The sequence below is a fragment of the Homo sapiens genome, chromosome 8, assembly GCF_000001405.40.
Source record: "Homo sapiens chromosome 8, GRCh38.p14 Primary Assembly".
In the NCBI taxonomy this organism is placed as follows: Eukaryota; Metazoa; Chordata; class Mammalia; order Primates; family Hominidae; genus Homo; species Homo sapiens.
The window spans coordinates 109,517,874-109,539,390 of NC_000008.11; the positions used below are offsets into that span (position 1 = coordinate 109,517,874).

At 37.8% G+C, this 21,517-nt stretch overlaps 1 protein-coding gene across 7 annotated transcripts in view, besides 4 other annotated features; it reads left to right on the plus strand.

Annotated features, from left to right (window-relative positions):
* PKHD1L1 (PKHD1 like 1) overlaps positions 1 to 19,334 on the plus strand; it is a 174,747-nt gene extending 155,413 nt beyond the window's left edge. For 6 of the 7 annotated variants that reach the window (NM_177531.6, XM_017013971.2, XM_047422421.1 and 3 more), the window contains 6 exons: positions 294 to 635; positions 4,313 to 4,464; positions 4,871 to 5,017; positions 5,360 to 5,513; positions 8,911 to 9,147; positions 12,207 to 19,334. In NM_177531.6, the coding sequence (NP_803875.2) occupies positions 294 to 635; positions 4,313 to 4,464; positions 4,871 to 5,017; positions 5,360 to 5,513; positions 8,911 to 9,147; positions 12,207 to 12,217 (1,043 nt within the window). In that variant the 3' untranslated portion in view covers positions 12,218 to 19,334. The remainder of the gene's footprint in view (positions 1 to 293; positions 636 to 4,312; positions 4,465 to 4,870; positions 5,018 to 5,359; positions 5,514 to 8,910; positions 9,148 to 12,206) is intronic. The other variant, XM_011517371.3, reaches the window with a different exon arrangement.
* Positions 4,241 to 5,440: an enhancer, noted in NCBI's record as "MED14-independent group 3 enhancer chr8:110534343-110535542 (GRCh37/hg19 assembly coordinates)". NCBI's record gives its function as "activates an origin of replication core promoter dependent on BRD2, BRD4, P300/CBP and CDK7 cofactors, and independent of MED14, by STARR-seq in HCT116 cells {active_cell/tissue: HCT116}" and the evidence as "EXISTENCE:reporter gene assay evidence [ECO:0000049][PMID:35650434]".
* Positions 4,992 to 5,041: an enhancer, noted in NCBI's record as "active region_27807". NCBI's record gives its function as "activates an Ori minimal core promoter by ATAC-STARR-seq in GM12878 lymphoblastoid cells {active_cell/tissue: GM12878}" and the evidence as "EXISTENCE:reporter gene assay evidence [ECO:0000049][PMID:35858748]".
* Positions 5,052 to 5,141: an enhancer, noted in NCBI's record as "active region_27808". NCBI's record gives its function as "activates an Ori minimal core promoter by ATAC-STARR-seq in GM12878 lymphoblastoid cells {active_cell/tissue: GM12878}" and the evidence as "EXISTENCE:reporter gene assay evidence [ECO:0000049][PMID:35858748]".
* Positions 7,469 to 7,588: an enhancer, noted in NCBI's record as "active region_27809". NCBI's record gives its function as "activates an Ori minimal core promoter by ATAC-STARR-seq in GM12878 lymphoblastoid cells {active_cell/tissue: GM12878}" and the evidence as "EXISTENCE:reporter gene assay evidence [ECO:0000049][PMID:35858748]".
* Positions 19,335 to 21,517: the final 2,183 nt, after the last annotated feature.

Genomic DNA, 21,517 nt, shown 5'->3' on the forward strand with positions numbered 1-21,517 from the left:
CTCCTGGGATCATAACTTGATTTGTTTCTCATTTATACTGTGTCTATATAGCTAATTTTTAAAAAACAAACAATGTGTAATGATTATTTGTGGTATTTTTTAAAGGAGTGGCTTTAATTTCGCAGGTCAGTTCTATAAGTGTTTTTGTTTTTAAAAAGGTATGCTTTCTTATGAAAGAATGATAAAGTTGAATTTGGGGGACTTTCTAAATTCAAACAAACATTAAGTAACGCATGTTGATTGTGATAATATAAAATACTTAGCTGTGATGTTCTGGCTTTTTTCCTTCATAGACCAATTCCTTCCTAACCTGGATTCCACTGTCCTTGGTGAAAACTACTTTGATGGAACCTACCAGATGCTTTATCTTTTGGTTAAAGGAACTATACCTGTTGAAATTCACACTGCCACAGTGATATTTGTTTCTTTCCAATTATCTGTTGCAACAGAAGATGACTTTTATACCTCTCACAATCTGGTTAAAAATCTTGCCTTGTTCCTAAAGATACCAAGTGACAAAATCCGTATCAGCAAAATAAGAGGGAAGAGTCTGAGGAGGAAGAGATCCATGGGATTCATAATTGAAATAGAGATTGGAGACCCTCCTATTCAGTTCATAAGCAATGGCACCACAGGTATGAATAACAGGTGTTTGAGATGGAGGAATGCAATTACCAAATCCATATCCATAAATAACCTGATCAGGGCTTGGTGAGCCTGGCCTCAGGAAATCCCATCAACCCCACATCCTGAACCCTCTAAGTGCCCAGAGACCCTTTTTCCTTCTTTGCTCCTGTACTACCAAACTGTTTTAGAATTGGAAGGAATTTGAATCTCTGTTTTGTTATTGTGATGATTAATAAGTTCAACAAAAGAATTTGATCTAATATAAAAAGATCTGGGAAGACCTACTTAAGCAAGTGACCTTACAGATGAGAGATTAAGGATGAAGATAGTCAATGAAAAGACAGAGGAAAAAGAGTGTTCAAGCTATGGAAACTGTTGGTGAGAGTTTGGTGCATTTGAAGAGAGGAAACAGGTCCGATTGGTCTGGAGTGGAAGGAGCCAGGAAGGACAAGCTGCTGGAGGTGTAGCCAAGGGGTAGACAGGTGCTAGATGTGGAAAGCTTTGGAAGTCAAAGGAAGGACTGTGGATGTTTTCTTAAGAAAAAGAGTAAATATTCTTGGATATTCTGAGCAGTAGATTGGTGGGTTAGATTTCCACAGTAAAGTCACAGATTCAGCCCAAAAAGGGCAGATGTGCAAGTACATAATCTGTCTTTATTTCCTGTGACTGAGCGAATCATCCTCACAAGCCATCATCCCCTCTCTGTGTCCCTCACTTCCTATTTTTTATCAGAGATAAAAAAATAAGCTCAACTGTCCCATCAGAGAAATCTCTGCTGGCTGAAATCATTTCCTTAGGGTCACTCAGTTTGGGCACTTGAGTAAATGCTCAGCTCTTCAAATTTTCTCTATCCATCTGCTCCTTTCAAGTTGGGGTCTGAATACCAAGGGGCTGTTCTGGCCTCCGTCCTCATGTTATCATCTTGTCTTCACAGCCTCTGGTACAGAGTGGGTCATCTTCTCTGCTCTACATATGCATCTCTTGAGGTACTACTGAACTTTCCTGGTCTTCTGGGATGCAATAATATCCCCCACTGCTAACCTGCAACCATGCCTTTGTCTTCAGTGGTCAAGCACAAGTACTCTGATCTAGGTGTACCCCTCCCCAAGAACAGGAAAGGCAGGTATCTGTCAGAGGAAGACTTACCATCCAGTTAATGAAGCTTACACTTCAAGCCCCCTCACTGATACAAGTCCTGGGAGGGGCTTTCACTTTCAATACCTTAGGAGAGGTCCTCATAATGTGGTCAAATCATTGAATGTTATTATGAAAGCTACAAAGGTATGATTTTTCTGCATTCCTTTTCCTAAAGAGATCGTCCAGACATATATAAACTGCAGCCCCACTAGGTTGGGATCTACCCTATCTACCTGTGTTCAGTCACTTTATCATTAAACTCCCAGGCTCTGTGTAAACCTGGGTACTGGGTGAAGTTCTCACTTTATGCCACTAGAGATCTTCACTCATTTTCCCAAGAGGTTTGCTTCTAGGCATTGACCCTATGCACCTACCACATTATCACTCTGGAATTCTATCAGCTAAGCAGGTGGAAGTTTCTTCCATTGGGGGGATAAGCCTGTGGGAAGGCTTGCCTGTGTGGAGGGAGGTGTTTATAAACTCTTGGTTAGAAGAGCGTAGGAAGCCTAGGCTTGTGTTGCAACCAGATCTCCCACGATGTTCTCTGCCCAGAGTAATAGTTAACTTTCCTTCGTCAGTTCTGTACTCACTTGGACTTACAGGCTCAGGGTTTGGACTCAGCATGACTTTGCCTGTTATTTTAGGAGTTGTAAAGGGCCCATGGCACATATACAGATTACTCACCTACTCTTAGAAATCCCTGGTGAGCCCTTACGTGTCGTGAGGTCCAAAATTTACCACACTAGCCACTAGATATCCAAAGAAACTGGGATTTATTTCTTACATGTGACATATATTTCCCCACATACAATCCCTCCTACATCCATCCCCTTAAAGCAGTTTTAGCTTGTTAGATTTATCCAGACAGGTATAAGACCACTGAAGAATGTAGAAGTTAGGGATGGTGGGAGGGACAGGCTAATGGCACATTTTCTAGACATAGACTGCGATAGTGTTTCAAGTCTCAAGGAGAACCCTACAACTTGGTGAATCACAGCAAAATGTTGAGAAGTGGCAAGAAAGATGTTCATGTAGTTGTACTCCTGGCTCCTTATAGCTTTTATATAGTATCAGGATATCCAGAAATTCCCAGATGTCCTAGAAAGGGGTTACCTATGTATTAAAGGCATTTATGAGCAGACAGTCCTACAGCCAGGAATAAGAGGCCTTCAAGTTAAGGTCTTTGGTTTCTAGATGGCAATCAGCAGAAATGAATGCCCTCACATGTCGAACGGTCAGCGAGAACCTGTTAACAGTGCAGACTGCATCAGACCTGCCACTCCATGCCAAAAACCAGTGAAGACAAAGTAGTAATAGTAGTGCATGGACCTGAAGCAGTTCTGTACTGCTACAGCTAGATATACAAGCCCTCAGACTTGGGAGGCCTCCCTGGAGAAGGCTGTTTCTGGAGGGAGTATGAGGAGAGGGAGGAATCTGAAAGACTGAGCCTTTTTCCAAAAGAGTCTGAGTCATCCAAAAGAGTCCTTTTAAACTGACAAGGACTGAAATAGCTTAGGACTGTGGGGTTCATAGTGTCATGTCAGACCTGCTGGCCCAAGACGTTACCTCCTTCTTCCTGAGCACTCTAAGCCTTATGGCTTAACTTTAATAGAAGAAACTCAGTGATTTGATTCCTCAAGGCATGACTCTGAATATAGAAGGTACAGGATACCTAGGAACAAGGGATTAGCAAGGCCTGCAATACACCAAAACATTATCCTGGTTTACAGTTGTTTCTTAAAAGATCAGTCTGACTCCAGAGGCCAGTTTAAAAGTGGTTTTAGTAACCCTGCTGATGTGGCTTTAATTAGGATTTTAACAACAGGGACAGAGAGAGTTAGAAATTGGTAATGGATTAGATGTGGTGTAGTGGAGAGGTGAAGGAGCAGGGATTAAGCAAAACTACTAGGCTTCTGAAAAAAGGAATATGGTGCATTAAGGTACCACTTTTTAAGGTAAGGAGCACTGTGGGGGCAGAAGGTTTAAGAGGAAACCCCAGACCTGCCATGCTAGAAAAGGGGAACAGAACTATATGTAGTGTTAAAAGTAACTGAAAATTGTCAAATGTCCAAAGCAAGTAACAATTGGTTAGTAATTTAATAACTTTAGCAACTAGTATATTAATACATACACATAATATGATCGATTCTAACAATCCTTCCATTCCAAAATTAACACTTTATTTTTTAAAATGACACATGATAATAGAAATGCATGATAATGCTTCATTGGTAAACAAAGATTGGTAGGAGAAAGTATTAAATTAAGAGACATATATTCTCCCACTATGTTTTCATTCGTTTTTCTTGTATCTGTTTTATCTACCTTTGTTTTTCCTTTAATTCCAACTTAAAATATATTCTCCTGAGTTCTTCCTTTTCCTCCCCTCATTAATATGACTGCTGTGTTTTGCTCAGGTAAGACTAGAAAGCCTTAGAATTCTATAATGTGATGGAGCAATGCAAAGAATGCTAAAGTGAAAAACTCTCATGTGTTCTCACAATTCTATACTTTTATAATCCAAATGTCATAATACTTTTCCCCATAGGTCAGATGCAGTTATCTGAACTCCAGGAAATTGCTGGTTCTCTTGGACAAGCTGTAATTTTAGGAAACATCAGTAGTATCCTTGGATTTAACATTTCGTCCATGTCTATTACTAATCCCCTCCCCAGCCCAAGTGACTCTGGGTGGATTAAGGTAAGAAAATGCAACTAGAAAAAATGCATTTTTTGGGACTTAAAATATCATTACTTATTTCTTATTTTAACTCTCTGTTTCTATTTCAAAACAATAATTTAGCAGGCATGTCTTTCTTATTTATTGTTGACTTTTTATAGGCTCGCTAAAATGATAATAAAGTTGTTTGAACAAAGGAGCATATCTTCCAAAAGTTGTGTATTGGTTATAAATTTGTTTTGCTTTGCATATTTATAACAATGCTTCATAAATGTAATGGAGGAAATATTGTAATTATATTAATTTTGCATATTGAACATATTCCAAAATAAATAATGAATATTTTATACTCAGCCTGGCTAAAATGAGTTTGCTGCTGAGTGTAGTTTATCATGAAGAAACCAGTTCATCCCTTGTGCATTCACAGGTGACTGCCCAGCCAGTTGAAAGGTCTGCATTTCCTGTTCATCACGTGGCCTTCGTGTCCTCACTCTTAGTGATCACTCAGCCGGTGGCAGCACAGCCAGGACAGCCATTTCCTCAGCAGCCTTCGGTAAAGGCAACAGATTCTGACGTAAGTCATAACTCAAAATTTTACTTAAGTGAAGGAATTAAGCTACAAATTCTGAAGGATGAGCCAGTTTCACTCATCCTGGTGTGCTGGCAGCCTGAGGATCACACGGCCCTTTCAGAAGTTGGACTAATATCCAAGGATACCATCTTGTAATGTCTCAAAAATGTTTATGTTAAACGAACTTCTGCTGCTCAGGTTTATGAACTCTTTGTGTGGAATAAGGAGCTTCTGCAGATTTTCAATTTATAATGAGGCATTTTTAAAAATAAAGTTTTGCATATATTTTTAAAAGCATGGAAACAGGACAATTGTTATAATTATCTACTTTTTTTTTTTTTTTAGGGTAACTGTGTATCAGTTGGAATTACTGCACTAACTTTGAGGGCCATACTCAAGGACTCCAATAATAACCAAGTCAATGGCCTTAGTGGAAATACAACAATTCCGTTTAGCAGCTGTTGGGCCAACTACACAGACCTTACTCCCCTTAGAACAGGTGGGTGCACTATTTTGGATCCTCACATATATAGCCATAAATAGAGACAATTATAATGTTCTTTTAATGAACAAAGCATTCTGTAACACTCTGGTCAATAAATTATAGACATCAGAATGCTATATTTTGCCTTGTTTCAGAAAATATTTAGTCTAGCTTAAGAATAGATTTCATATGTGAAATAAATAGAAATTAAAATAAAAAATTAAGGAAATCGAATTATATCATGATTTATCCATTTGTATACTTTCCTAAATTTGCTCACTAAAGATGTACTACATTTATAGTAAGAAAAATTAACATACAGATTTTCAAATTCAATAAAAGAAAGGATAAGGTAGGCTCATATAACTTTAATGTCTTAAGGAGGAGTTCAGAGTTGGGCTAGAAAGTTGGCTGTGGTCTTTCTGAAAGCCAAAGCAAGAGAGAAAATGAGCATTATCATAATTTACAGTACCCATCAACTAAACAGATCAGTTGCTGTGAGAATTATAATATTCTCTGAGAACAGAACAAATGTCTCCTGTGATTTTTCAGAAAGTGTGCACAATTAATCTGTATTAAGTGATATCTTCAACATCGGTGCAGTAAATACAGCCATCACTGCCACAATTACTTTTTTTATACTATCTTCATATAGGTTGATGACACAACTCTGATTGGTAAAAACCATTCTACCAGGGTCCAGATGATATATCCCTGAACAGATCTCTCTTGGTGATAGAATGTAGAGTATCTAAAAGAATGAAATGGATAAACCGCTTACGTTTGAGAAAGGCCTCCATTGTTCTGTTTGTCCCAACTCAGGGCCTATTTAAGATAGTTAGGGGCCTTAACTTCTGAAAAGGCTATGTAGTGGCACCCCTCTCCCCAGTTTTTTCCCTGAATTTTTGTTTCTCCATGCTTTGATAGTGCCCTAAGCCAGATATGTTCAGTCTGCCTACTGGGCAGCAATATCTCAGCCTAATGTTTGATAATAATTAAATGATAATGTGTCCCACTGCTTTCTGGTTTAGAACAGAGCTAAATTCTTTTAACTATCAGCCCAAATGGAATTTTTTTTTTATGGGAAATGAGGCAGCTGGCAAGAATCCTACCTGAAAAGAAGTTTGCTCACCTCCTCATGAGGGTGGACCCAATAAGTATCCAGTGGAAAAGAACCAACCTTGTGACTAAGGTCTTCAAACTACAATGTTCCAAAAGTACCCAGGATCACTGGAGCACTAAAGCACTAAAATAGGTTTTGGCATTTTACTGTGGCAACAAAATAATAATTTAAGCATTTTTCTTTCATACGTTAAGTTTTTTTTCAGAATTCAAAGCTTCCCTTGGGAGGGTCTGTCTTACTTGCCAAGGAGAAATGCCAGTGCTCTTCACCTGTGTGTTTCCTTTTCCTCCTTTCCTTCCTTCCCTCCCTCCATCCCTCCTTCCTTCCTTCCTCCCTCCCTCCTTCTGTCCTTCCTTCCATCCCTCCTTCCCTCCCCCTCTGTCCTCTCTGTTACCCTCTCCTTCTCCCCTCCCCTCTTCCTCTCTCTCTCCTCTTTTCTTCATCAAGTGTGGCATCCCTGGTTATGTACAATAAGGAAAGCCAAGTATAGGAATCTCTTCATTATTTTTAAATCAATTAGCCAGTTGTAGATTAACCACAGTAAAATTAGAATAACAACAAAGCATTAGTGAGAAAATTAACAAAATATCTTTCACTGACTCTTTCTAGCAGTTAACCCCCACAGTCACTGCACTGAAGGAAATCCCCTTGCTGATCAGACTGCGGCCTGACAGCACAGCACCCCTCTTCTACATATAGCTCCATAAAGAGCAAAGCAGGGTACTTGGGTAGAGGAGATACAGGTTGTGGTTTCTAACACAGAAAATAGTGATGTGAGAAATGGGTGGGAGAAAAAGGATCTGCATCTTTAACCAACCTAGATAAGGAGAATATTACTAACAGACACTGGGACATATTTGTTTAGCGTCCTATGTAATGTTTAGTGTTTGTTTCAGTTTCTATTGCTATGAAACAAACCAGCCCCAAATCTAATAACACCATTTCATTTGCTCACAATTGTGTGTGTCAGAAATTTGGGCCAGGATAGCTCACCACTGCTCCAATGTCTGCGGCTTCAGCTGGGAATTTCTATTAGCTAGAGCTGGCTAAGATGGCTTGATTGAGGTCATATCTCTATGGACCTGATTCTGGATTTTGGCTGGGTTCTTCAATTCTCCTCTATGTGGTCTTTCCATAAGGCTAGCTTGGGCTTCTTCACAGTACTTCAGGAGGAGAAAAACAAAATAAAAGAACTACCCTAAATTATTTGCTCATCAAAAAAATTAATAAAAAAATTCACCTGCCACAAAAATTCAGATTTTTTAATGCAAAAAGAAAAAAATTTTAATACACCATTGTCAGGAATTGTCAGTGACAGAAAATTCTATAGTACAGTGCCCATATATCCTGAAAGTTATATAATGAATTGCAATTGTTCATGAAACCACAGATGTGATCAAGATCTAATTATATTCTTTTCCTAAAAAAGAATGAAAACAGGAATGACTTTTTAAAAACAACACAGAAAACAGATGAGTAAAAACTTACAGGGCTGTACAAGTATTAGAAATGCTATTCTGTGTGGTGACTATTATTAATGATAGCATAGACCCAAAATAAATTATAGGAAGGAAAAATATATTGGTTATCTCCTATTCAAAACTGTGGGAAGATTTAACCTGGAGATTAAATAATATTGGATGAGCTCTTTAACATTTTTACATTCTAAACACAAGTAACAATGTTTCTAAAATGTCTACCTGGAATAAGGAAAAAGGGTCACAGCCTTGTAATACAAAAATAGCATCTAACTTCAAACAAATGTGAAACATGGTAAAAGTTTTTTGAATCTTAATGGAAGGCATATGGTTGTTTGCTGTATTATTCTTTCAACTCTTTTCTTGTTTGAAATTTTTCAAAATAAAAAGTTCAGTATCCAACCCCACCTCCCCCAACTGAGACTGATGCTTCTCTACTGCTAGGTCAAGTACGAAGGGATGAAACTGAGATTCAGCACCCTCACCTCTCTTCCCTATTGTCCCTCATTTCCAACAGTTTTTGTCCAGTCCTGGGCACTAGGAAGGGGCTCTAAGAAGCAGGTACTGCTGCTGCAGAAAGAAAATCTACCCAGCTTCCCTGTTGTTCAGTTAATGGGCAGATAGAACTCTTCTAACTCTGAGACCCTGTCTATACTTGTCTGTACTTAAACTAATTTATTTGACTCAACTTTCAAAAATATTTCATCAGGATCTATATAGTGTTTTTCAGTCAATGAAAATCAAATGGGAACGGTATGAAAACAAGTAAAACATAAAGGAAATCAAACACTATGATGCTTTTTTTTTCCAGGAAAAAATTATAAGATTGAATTTATACTGGATAATGTTGTTGGGGTAGAATCCAGAACTTTCAGCCTGCTGGCAGAGTCTGTCTCTAGCAGTGGCAGCAGCAGCAGCAGCAACAGCAAAGCATCAACTGTGGGTACATATGCCCAGATAATGACTGTAGTAATTAGCTGTCTGGTTGGAAGAATGTGGCTCTTGGAAATATTTATGGCTGCAGTTTCAACTTTGAATATAACTTTAAGTAAGTACAGTCCATTAATACATTATTTCTCCACATGTTGAAGTACCAGTGTTTACTGGATAAAGGCTGTGTGCACAGCTCTTGTGCATGATATCACTGTGTGCACAAAGAGAAAGTAACAGCCTCAATAGCAGAGACAAGACAACCTATGGAAAATGTTATTCACTACATGTTGGTCTATAAGAATGTGGTGAAACAAGGCTGGGCACAGTGGCTCATACTTGTAATCCCAGCATTTTGGGCGGCTGAGGCAGGTGGATCACCTGAGGTCAGGAGTTGGAGACCAGCCTGGCCAACATGGCAAAACCCTAACTCTACTAAAAATATAAAAAAATTAGCTGGGCATGGTGGTGGGCAACTGTAATCCTAGCTACTCAGGTGGCTGAGGCAGGAGAATCGCTTGAGCCTGGGAGGTGGAGGCTGCAGTGAACTGAGATCCCACCACTGCACTCCAGCCTGCGTGACAGAACAAGACTCTGTCAAAATAAATAAATAAATACGTATGTAAATAAATAAATAAATAATGTGAAACAAAAGTGCAGGTCATATCAGAACTCTTTTTGAGTTGCAAGATGCAGATTCTTAGCTTGAATTGATCTAGCTAGTAAAGTGATCACTTAGAAGTCCAGAAGTTGTCTGGTTTCTCAAACAGTTGGATCTAAGGACTCAGATGATATCTTCTAGAACCTCTGTCTCTTCTTCTCTTGGCTCCACTCTCTTTGGTGTTAGCTTTACTCCCAGGCTGACTCCTCACCACCCCCAATCTTCATTACAAAGGTACACACCAACATCTTCTACCAGCCCATCAACCAATACAGAAAGAGCTAACCTCTTTCCCAACAGTTCCAGAGAAAAGCCCCAAAGCTATGTCATTGACCTGGCTTGGGTCACATGCCCATTCCTGAACAAATCACTGTGGCCACAGCATTCTAATTAGCTTGGCCTGGTCACATGGGGTAAGGTACTGAGAATGGCAGAGGTGTAGTTTCACTAAGGATAATAAAGGTGCTAGTACGAGGAATGACAGGCAGACAGAGACATTGAATATTAGAGAGATTGATAAAAGGGAGACGTCCCTATATGATTAGAGAAGACTGCAAATATCATTGCATTAGCAACACATGAAAGTTGGGACTGTATAAAATGTATAAGATTTGGAAAGGGAGGGAAAAGGCACTCAAGAACAGGGACATGATAGGAGCAAGGAAAAAATGGCAGTGGAATAAAACATCTTCAGTTATACATGTTTAGCACAGAATTCCTCATCATCTCCTTACAAACATACTTCTCCGCCCGCAGTTAATGCCAGTGCCATTTTTGCCTATCCTCCATATTGCTGTCAGATTTAAGGTCATGTAATGCTAACAGGAATCTCAAATCCTCAACTATTCCTCACTACATGCAAAAAATATAATCAACATCAAAGATCTTGAAAACAGATTTGAAGACTCCCTCCTTTTACCAAATCATTTCCAGAAAGAATTCTCTCCACCCTACATATTCCCTATATCTATACCTAGGCTGCCAGCCTCTACTCACCAAGGTTACCTCTCACAGCATCCTTCTAGGTCTTGCTCAAATTCCACCTCATCCAGCAGGTTTCCCTTCTTCCTTCCCACTCTACATTTAATTCTCCTCTCCCTTGGTCTCCAATTGCACTTTGTGTTTATATCATTATTATAGTCCTTTCTGTAATATACTTGTATTAAGCTTATATTCAAATCTATCTTCATCACCAAATTGTGAGCACTTACAAGACTGTATGCCTTACATATTATAAGTACGAAAAATCTGGTTTAATTGATTTTAAATCTTGAAAGTGAAAGTTGCGTCTTTACCTCTGACTTAAGGGGAAATGTTGAGTAGGGGTATTGTGGGCAAATTGTAAAGAGCTTTGATTGGAACATATTAATCAGTTTGCAATTCATTTGATGGGGGAGAGTTTCTGACACGTTAGTGAAAAAAAATCACATAAGAGATACTGTATAATAAAGTCGAGGAAGAATTTGAGGTGGGGTAACAATTTAGAAGAATACTAAAGCATATTGAGCAATAAAAGCCAAGACTAGATTTTAAATTTAAATATAAAGGATCAGAGGACATAGTAAGGCTGGGTCTGGAAGTGACAAAACAAACTGGAGGCTGAAACAAACTGCTGGGCTTTCATGAATAGCCAGAAAACAAGAAGAAGGAAATCCTTTCTTCTCTCCTAATGGAAGAAATTAATTGGAGTCCAGCGGTCAAGGGAGAAGCATAGTTTGCAGAGACCTTGTTCTGGCCTCTTATAGCTGAATATAGACAAGGGGGTTTATGTTATTTTTATGCCAGTTTTCTTGTCTCCAGAATAGTAATAAAAGTAAGACCAATTGTTTATTTTATAATAGGATGACAAGCATTTCTTTAATTAATTTTATTTTTTTCTCAGAAGCATTAAAATATAAGGTCTAATTGGCTAAATATTGCTCAATATATATTTGTGCATTTTGCATTGCCTCATTAAGTGCAAAAACCTTTATAGACTCTCATCCTGCTTACTCCTGACAACTTTGGTACTTTACCAAATTAATATAATTCTATTCTCAAAGAATTAGTAAATCATATAGCTCCTGAGTTTTTTCCAGGAACTTTTCCAGATAAGAAGATTAATCAATGGCTTCTTCTTTGCTACTAAATAAACTACCATTTTTCAATTAGAATATAAGAAATTTAAACACCATTAATGGATTAAAATGCTGGGTTCTTTAATAACTTTGCATTCTGAATGAATAATATATTACTTTTAAGAGGATCATGAAGTTTCACTAAATAAAAGACCTTATATTTTAAATGTGTATTTTTGAATGTGAAAAATAAAAAATAAAACAATCTTGTATAAGCACCACAATCTATAAGTTTCTACAAAAAAACCATTACTGATTCTAACATTAAATGGGTAAACTTGGAAATACTGCTAACTGTACCATAAAAATGAGAAAAGTTAAAATTAATGAAATATATTTTAAATTATACTATATGCTATTTCTACTTAAAAATTGTTTTGTATTGTTTCCATTTTTCAGGAAGCTACTAAAGTGCTGTTCCGAAGAATAGGCTGAAACAAAAATATAAGAATTATTAGCTACTTTGTTGGGCAATAGGCAAAAGTCTATAGCATTTTCATGAAAATATACTAAAAATATTTTTATGATATATAAAATGTACTAATTAGCTTTAAACACTAAAATCAGATTTCTTCAAAATATAAATTTGTTTTGATTCTTTATATTTATATGTTTTTATTTCATTTCAATAAACTTCCAGAAATTTGTCATTTGGAAGTAGATATGACACCTCTAAGTTATTGTACCAACAAATCATAGAATCCTTTAAATAATGGAAAGAGCTTGTCTAGTTCCGACTTAAGCTCTTTACATCAGATTGGAAGCATTTTAAGTATTCTTTTTAATACTTGAGGGGGGGGGTTCTTATTTTCTCTATCCATTTACAAGGTTTTGATTTCCAATAATCTAAGCCATTCTAGTTTCTAAGGATTTTGGAGAGACGAGATTGTCTTCACACAATCTGAGATGACAATCTCATCTCAGATTTTTCACACTGAGTTCCTGTCTTTCAGATTCACAGTAATCCCAGGAATTCTAGACTGTCCTGTATTTCTGGATCTGCCCAACTCTGGCCAATATTGGGAAAAGTTTTCTTGTCCTTGGAATGAACTTTTGGAACAAGTCCAAACTCCTTCTCTGCCTACCCCTCCTTCCCACTCAAAACTGCCACTACTAAGAGCAGGACTCCCCTCAACCCCGGGCATGAGTTGAGGGTTGAGGGGTTCCCTTAACTGGTGGATGCTTATTCACTGTTTACTGGATGAATGAAGTATAAAGTGTGGGAAGTCAACAACAGAACAGAACTTATTTTCAAGAAGATAAATTAGAGAATGCAAAAAAGCTACAGACTAAGGTAGCTAAGTTAACCGAACTCTCTAACAGTATTGAAAATAGCAATTCTTTACTCAGAAAATTCTAAAGGGAATACTTAATTTGACAGAACTCCTAATAAAGACATTGTAGCCAGATCCAGAGCCTTCCAGCAAGTGACACTCAGCAAACATTTGGGACAGCTGAGAGAATTCAACAAAGCCCATACCGTTGTCTCTTGTATAACATCTCCTAGTACATTCACCTCAGATCATTGTTAGTCTTACTTAGCAGAAAATGTATAAACACTTACCAGGTAGTAAAATCAAATATCTTGGTATAAATGTGGCATTTCATTCACTTGAGCAGTATCTGTTGGGTGTTCTAGTAAGTAGGAAGGCTACAAGAAATAAGATGCTATGCCTTCCCTCGAAGAGTTTTCAGGATATTTGGGGAAAGAATGGAAACAGACCATTTCAATACAACATGATCACTGTCTCAGGGAGAGAGAGACAGAGAAAGACAGAGAGATAGAGACAGAGACAGAGAGGGAGGGGGAGAGAGAGATAGATAGAGAGAGAGAGAAAGCATGAGGTTGCTAGCAATATGGAGGCCTTAAGCCTTGTTCAGGAGGGCTACCTAGAAGAGCAGTGGAAGAAAACTGGGAGAGGACCACTGAAGGCCTAGGGGCTACAGAAAAAATTCAAATGAACAGCTGGAATGGAAATAGTCACAATTTTAAGGGAATTGCAGGTAAGAGGTCCCTGACAAGGTAGTCTTCAAAGTATACATGAAAGCCCCTTCATGAGGAACATTTGCCATGTCCAGAGAGCATTGATACTTCATTGTACAGCACCAGGTAACAGAGCACTTTTATACTCCCCTCAGTTCCAACCCTGGTGGGGTGAAAAACCTCTGTTCCTGGGATAGGGAGGGGGAAAGAGACCCAACATGGGCCATTTCACGCTGAGACTTAAAAATCAGTCTTCCTAAGGCAAATCTAGTTTACTGTTCATTCCGTGATACTTCCTTTCTGTTGGAAAACTAAATTCCAAAAACTGCAATTCCAGCATCTATGGAACAAATTCCTACATTTGGGTTCTGGAAGAGATACAAAAATATTCTTCACACCAGAACATTGTAAAAGCCATAAAATTGTCCACCATCTGTATTCTTTTCTTACCTAAAGGTTTAATTCAGCCCACTGGAGTTTTTTGTCAAGATTTTTTCTGTCAGTTTTTAATAAGGAAATTTTCTAATACAAGTTATATGGCAGTAAAAGGAATTTCTAAAAATTGCTTCTTAGCCACACAGACTTTGTTAAAAAGTTCCTGTTTTAACTGCTTTAGGCTTCTGGCTGTCTGCTTTTTAAGAACATTCTAGAATTATCATAATAATTCCTTATTCCAGATAAATTACAATTTAATTACTACTTTTAAAAATGCTTGAATTATTGGAATCCATGGGCAATACATCTTCACATGTCCCTTATTCATATGCTAAGCAAGTTTTATTTTTGCTTTTTTTTTGCATTTAAATAATATTTCTCTGAACATTCTGTCTCAGAAATTGATGTTTAAATTCTTAAAAATAATTTGTATTGTAAGAAGTGGCTATCTAGCTCTTGAACAAGTCATAAAAATCCTTTGATGTGTGAATATTCTTCTACCTAAGACCTGAAATGTTGGCGAAGTAAATATGTTGTTCCAATTTTGGTCAAAGTAAGAAACAGAGAATAAAAAGTTAATAAGAATAGCTTCTTGTATTTCTCATAGTAAGTGAAATGTTTATATCTTGTACTACTGTCTCTACTCATTCCTAAATTCCATCACCTTGTGATCATTGCAATGACTTCTAGATGGTCCATCTGTTTTTACCTTTTATCCATTTTATCCCCAAAAGTGCTATTTAAAATATCCCTAGCACTAATAATAACAATAATCAATAATAAAGTAAAGGTTTATCACATGTTCACTACATGCCAGACACTATGCTGTGTGTTCTACATGGACCCTTTCCTTACAGCAATCCTATGAGGATAACCTTATTCCCTTCTCCAAATGAGGAAACTTGAAATGTTGAAGGGTTAGGTTAAATTCCCAAGTTCACAGAGCTACTAATGGTAAAGCTGGGATTCAAACACAGACAATTTAACTCCAGAGCCCAAATTCCAACATTTAATTGCTTCCCACTTTTCCTCAAGCATGGGCAAGTGCTTCATTGGGAAGAGTTTTTAATCCAAATTCCTGTTCAAATTCTTGGTTTCTACTTTACCACTTCTATGCCCTCAGGCAAGTTCTTAGTTTCCATTATTCTCAGTTTCTTCAACTGTAAAATGTGGAAAGTGTGACATCTGAAGACTGATGGTATCATATATATGACATGTAACACAGTGCCTAACAGGCGGTAAAATGATAGCCACTCTTGTTTTTATTTCCATAATGTGGCCTATATCATGTCAATCCCTGGCCCAGTAAACCATTAGGCTTCTTATTACACTGGAACAGTGCCTGGCATGTAATAAGCACCATGTGAGTGCTAATTATTAGAATTATTGGCTGGGCACTGGGCCACCTAGAACAAAGACAATTTCCCAGCTTCACTTGCAGTGAGACTGATCAATTTCTGTGCAGTGGGTTACAAAAACAGACATTATCTCGTGGCATATTCTAGAAACTGACCTTAAAACATAGCTATTATGCATCCCTTTGCCTTTTCTTCATCCCTTTCTGTTTTTCCAGCTACATGGAGCAAGATGGCTCCTGAGACCTGGAGGATAAAGGCCAGTGCCTTTTATTGCTCCATAACTTGTGTTAGAAAATCTCCTTACTAAAAATCTACAGAAAAATCTTGACAAAAAAAAAATTCCAGTGGATTGAATTAAAACTTTAGGTAAGAAAAGACTAAGATGGTGGACAATTTTATGGCTTTTACAATGTCCTTGTGTGAAGAATATTTTTATACCTCTTCCAGAACCCAGAGAGCTCAGCTGAAAGGAGTTTGGGTTCCTGACATTGTGGTGCCCTATACCAGCCCTTGCTCCTTTAGGGTTTCATTGTTATTTGGTGGTTATCCTAAATCTCCTGCTTTCATCAGATGTCTGAGATGGCAAAATTTGGAAGGATCAAGAGAACAGAGAGTTAATCCTTCCTAATGGGAAAGGTGGACAATGCCAAGGTTAAAATACCACATGCATCTTTGAGTTACTACTATACCCTCCCGAATGGAAATGCTTCAACTTTAATCTGAGGCTAGGCGCAGTGGCTCACGCCTGTAATCCCAGCACTCTGGGAGGCCAAGGCAGGCGGATCACGAGGTCAGGAGATCGAGACTATCCTGGCTAACACAGTGAAATCCTGTCTCTACTAAAAATACAAAAAAATTAGCCAGGCATGGTGGCGGGCACCTGTAGTCTCAGCTAGTCGGGAGGCTGAGGCAGGAGAATGGTGTGAACCCAGGAGGCGGAGCTTGCAGTGAGCTGAGATCTCGCCACTGCACTCCAGCCTGGGTGACAGAGCGAGACACATCTCAAAAAAAAAAACCCAAAAAACTTTAATCTGAATCCATTATGTGTTGGGTTGGGTTGGGGAACCTACCAAAACAGTGGGAGAGTCTTGCCCTTTTTCTAAGATCATCAGTGGGCATTTTCAGCTTCCCCATTATGGTAGTAGCTGCAAGGAGTGTTCAGTCTCCAGTGAAAGAAATATTAAGATTTATTCCCCCAATTTCCCCTCCCCAGAGAGTAGCTACAGACACACTGTGTAAGACCAAATAGGAAAAGTCTGCCACAGGGGACACAGTAGGTACTTGAATACTTGTGGGCAGTCTAACCAGCTACAAACCTCTTGTTGCCGTACTTGCAAGTCCTAATACAGTACTGTAGTTATTATAATTCCATCATTCTGAAATTAGAAAGATGGTCATGGAGAAACTGTTCTAAGAACGCCATTCACCCATGAATGTGACTTTATTAGAGGTTTTTTTTTTAGGTTAAGGACTATGTATTCTTTCAATTTCTCTAAAGTGCTTAGCACACACTCTGCCCATGGTAAGTGTTAAATAAACTTTCTGATAAACCAATGATTGGGTAGCATGATGAAACTTTTCCTATCCTGCTTTTTGAGATTAAGAAATCTTTTAAAAATATTACAGAAACTGCACTTTATCCTGACTTACAGCCTTAATGTTTGAAGTAGCAGTGTATAAAATTCACACCCAGTTATAGACTGAGTAATTATAGTTGCTATGGTAATGGGCTCTGTGCCTATGAGCAAAAAAAAAAAATTCCTTTTGTGCAAGATATTTATGACTGTGCCTGGCTACATGGCAATAGTATTTTCCTTTGGTTTTTCATTACAGTAACTTATGCATTTAGGCAGATGATCCTTTATATATGTAAACGCTATAAATTCTTAGGAAGAAAATAAATTTATTAAGTTTTTCACATCAAAAATTTCTAGTATGATTATGAGTTCAATTTTCAAGTGAAAGTAATCCTTAAAGGATTTAATTTCAAATAAGAACTACGTACAAAATATAGATTTAAATTAATTTTCACTGTATGAAATGTACAGTATACATAGACCAACTCCTTTAACAAGAATTTCTGGTATGTCTTAAAGGGCATGGGTGGTTAGAGGGAGATCCCCAAACAAACAATTCAAAATTAAGAGTTTAAAAAGCAACAATCAAGACACATATCCTCCTAAGTGAATTTGAATTAGACACTGGAAAATTTAAAAAGGTCAGTTACTATGAAGAAGGTGTAACAATATTTATATTAATCAGACAGCAAAGTAACAAACTGACTTAGAGGAAGGAAAATAGTAAAATACAAAAGACTAAGTTAGCAGATCATTTTGATATCCAGATGTGCTGAAATGATGGACACTGAGAAGAAAGAATAGACAAAACTTGGCAACAGATCTTGGTATGAAATAAATATCCCATGAGTAGTACATAAAAGCCTGGAGAGAGAGGGGAAGGATTGTAAGTGTCATAGTTCTGACAGCTGCTCTTTCATCCTATGCCTTTAAAACAAAGGGAACAAAGAAGGGAACAAAGAAGGTAGAAGCGGGGGTATGGAGGGTTGACTTCTGGCTGTCCCTCCCTGTTTCCCTTTGTTAATATATTGCTAGTAGACATGTCTACTTCTGGTTGCTGATGACATAAAATTCACCTCTATTTCTTGGAAGCACTATTCCATGTTGTGAGCTAAAGGGGATTGTACTGATCTTGAAGATAACAAATCTGCCTGCTTCAAAGGTTTCACCGATTTTATTGCTGTGTTTCCAACACATTTCCACATATGGTATGATATTTAATTTGCAAAATAAATCCGTAAAGCAGGAATTACTAACCTAATTTTGCAGATGAGAAAACTGAGGCTTAAAGTTGTTCAAGGTCAAAGTCACGATGTCCATCATGCTGTAGCTCAATGAATGAGTCTCACATTGTTTCATGTTGTTTTATTTCTACTTTCTCAATCCATGTACAAGATAGATTTACAAACTACTGTTTTATGTTGGTTGTATGAATTTCAATACATTTACTGTTAGAAATAACAAAAGGTCTTAGACTGCCAGATGCTGTTCCCATCAACTCTACTTAATTCATAATATAGCTGAACTCTGTCATAAATCTAATAACGATGTGGACATTAGCCAGAAGTATGATGTGGCTGAACCTCACCACTGAACACAAAATGAGAATTCACCTCATCTTTTCATTTGAATTTATTTCTACTAAAATATATGTATTATTTTTCTTGATTTCTAACCAGGCCCCTTCTGAAGAAAACTGGTTAACTCTAAATTGTTACTAAATTTTGAATCTTCCTGTATTTAGCAATAAAAGTTACTGCTAATTGTAATAACAATTATGAGGAAAAATTTATTTAAATGCTTCATAGAAAGTTAATTTTCATTTAATAGAAAAGAAATAAAAAATCTGCTTCAGACTGTTTGATTTCTCTATTAGGCAATTGACCCTAACTAGTATATGGTGATTTTGAGTATTAAAAAAGAAGTTATAATTTTCCAGAATATTAATGTTTATTATTTTGAAAGCAAGTAAAATTCTCCAGTAGGAAGATTAATAAAACAATTCATTAAAATTCTCATCAGAAAATCCTATGCTTTCAAATGTATCTGCTCAAAGATGTCACTCTATGTGCGGCAAAGCTTTGTTTTACTTGATCAAGAAATGAATGTGACTTTATGATCTTGTATTCAACTGTGAACAGCTGCTCATTAATAAAAAGCCATTAAAGTCCAAGTCAGAACAGCAGGTCTAAAATTGTGTTTGAGGGAAAAAAAACCCACCCTTTGATGAAAAGCCAGGGAACTGGGTTGGGAAAGATCTGGAAGCAGAGGGCTGTGTTTGCAGTCTGCTCCTACCTCCTGGGCCAGGTCAGGTGACAAGGCCAGAGTTAGCCCCAGCTGGAGAAGTCAGAACAAAGCCTATGTAGGCTTTGAAAGGGGAGAGTAAGTGGTGGGCTGGAGGTTGATAGTGTGAATAAATCAAGCTGGTAATTGGGCAGAGGCTGATCAGAAGCGTTAAAGTGAGCAAAATGGTTTGGACACAGAGCAGACAGAATTTACTATATTCCATTGAGTAAAAGAAATTCATATGCCAGGTTCTATCCCTTATGTTCCTCCCATTTGACATCTGGTGGTTTCCTACCCCCGTCCCACACAAGCTTTGGGGAGAGGACAGGACTTAAAGTTCCCTGTTCCCAAGAGGTGGTCCCTAAACCCAATCCCAAATTATTGACTTGTGATCCCAATTATGGGCTTACTATTTAACAAGTAAAGATGATTTTAAAATATTATTTTATAGGTATTACTAAAGTAAATTTTAAATTTGCAGTCTTTAGCGAGCTTTGTTTTCTGTTTTGCTATTGTGTTGGGAAACAAGTACTCAGTAACTAGCTGTTTCTGGAAAAGTATATACATTTCGTTTTGTTTCATTTGGAAATGGCAAATTTAATAAAGAAAACTGAAGAATCAGGAAAAAGAAGAAAATATCCTTGGGCATAATAAATTGTCTAAAGCAATCAACTCTTTAAGAAAAAAAATTTAAACACGTTTATATCCGAATATAGGTTATTTTGGATTTTTTTTTTTTTTTTTTTTGAGTCAGGGTCCTGCTCTGTCTCCCAGGCTGGAGTGCAGGGCCCAATCATGGCTCACTGTAGTCTCGACCTCCCAGGCTCAGGTGATTCTTCCCACCTCAGCCTTCTGAGTAGCTGGGACTACAGGCATGCGCCACCAAACCTGGCTAATTTTTAAATTATTTGTAGAAACGGAGTTTCGCCCGTTGCCTGGGCTGGTCTTAAATTCCTGGGCTCAAGCGTTCCTCCTGCCTCGGCCTCCCAAAGTGCTGAGATTACAGGCATGAGTTACCGTGCCCAGCTAGATAACTCGATTTTTTAAATCCAAAAAAAATTTAGAAATTTTATATTGAAATTTAGGCATTAGAATTCTAGAGATTAAAGTTAGAGCAGGTGTTTAAGGGACTGAAAGGGGTTGCATGGCCTTTGGGAAATGCAATTACCGGAAATGATACTGTAGTAATGCAATAGTAATGCAGTAGTAGTAGTAGCTGCAGCAACAACTGTTATCTATGAATGTTTGCTATGTGCCAGGCTCTGTGCTAAGAGAGCTTTGCAAGCATTACTACTGCATGAAGTAGGCACTATTATGGCCATTTTACTGATGAGGAAATTGAGGTGAACAGATTAAATAATTTTACCCAACTTTACACAGAACCATTCCAGAGCACGAGCCATAAACACATCTTTCCCGTCTTGGAAATTAAATTATTAATAAAAAACGTGGTGCAAATTGGAAAGAGGACGGTTGTGGTAGATTATCACAAAGTTAAGTGGGTAGGTGGTTGCTGGGTCAGGGTGGGAGAACAAAGGCAGCTGTAATAAAAAAAAAAATTAAAGGCATATAAAGAAAAAGGCTTGTTGAGAACAATTTGCATAAACTGATTTTGGCCTTAGACCCTATTCACTTCTCCCTCACCAGTCACTTTGCAACTGTGGAGCATAGTATTCTGAGGGTCCCCTGCACATAACAACCCCTTTCATAGCATACAAGATAAAAAGAAGAATCAGGCTGCAAAGAGAGAAGCACTGAAGGAAAGAACATCTCAGGTTGAAAGAAGGGCAAGTCCAGGGTGCATGTGAGGAACAAATGCATGGACACGGTGAAGTGCCACTTCTTCATTTCTAGTTCAACACAATTCAATTAAAAATTACTGGGAGGAGGCTACGTCTTGAATTAAACTCAGCATTCCACATCTTTGAGGTGGCGGAATGACTGAGGGGAGGGGGTCTGTCTAGCCACATCCAAATCTTCCTGAGACAGAGGGAGATCCCTCATTTGTTGCAGTGTATTTTCCTTGGTCGCATCTGACACAGGGGTTCTGTGGGTTGAACAGAAAGGGAC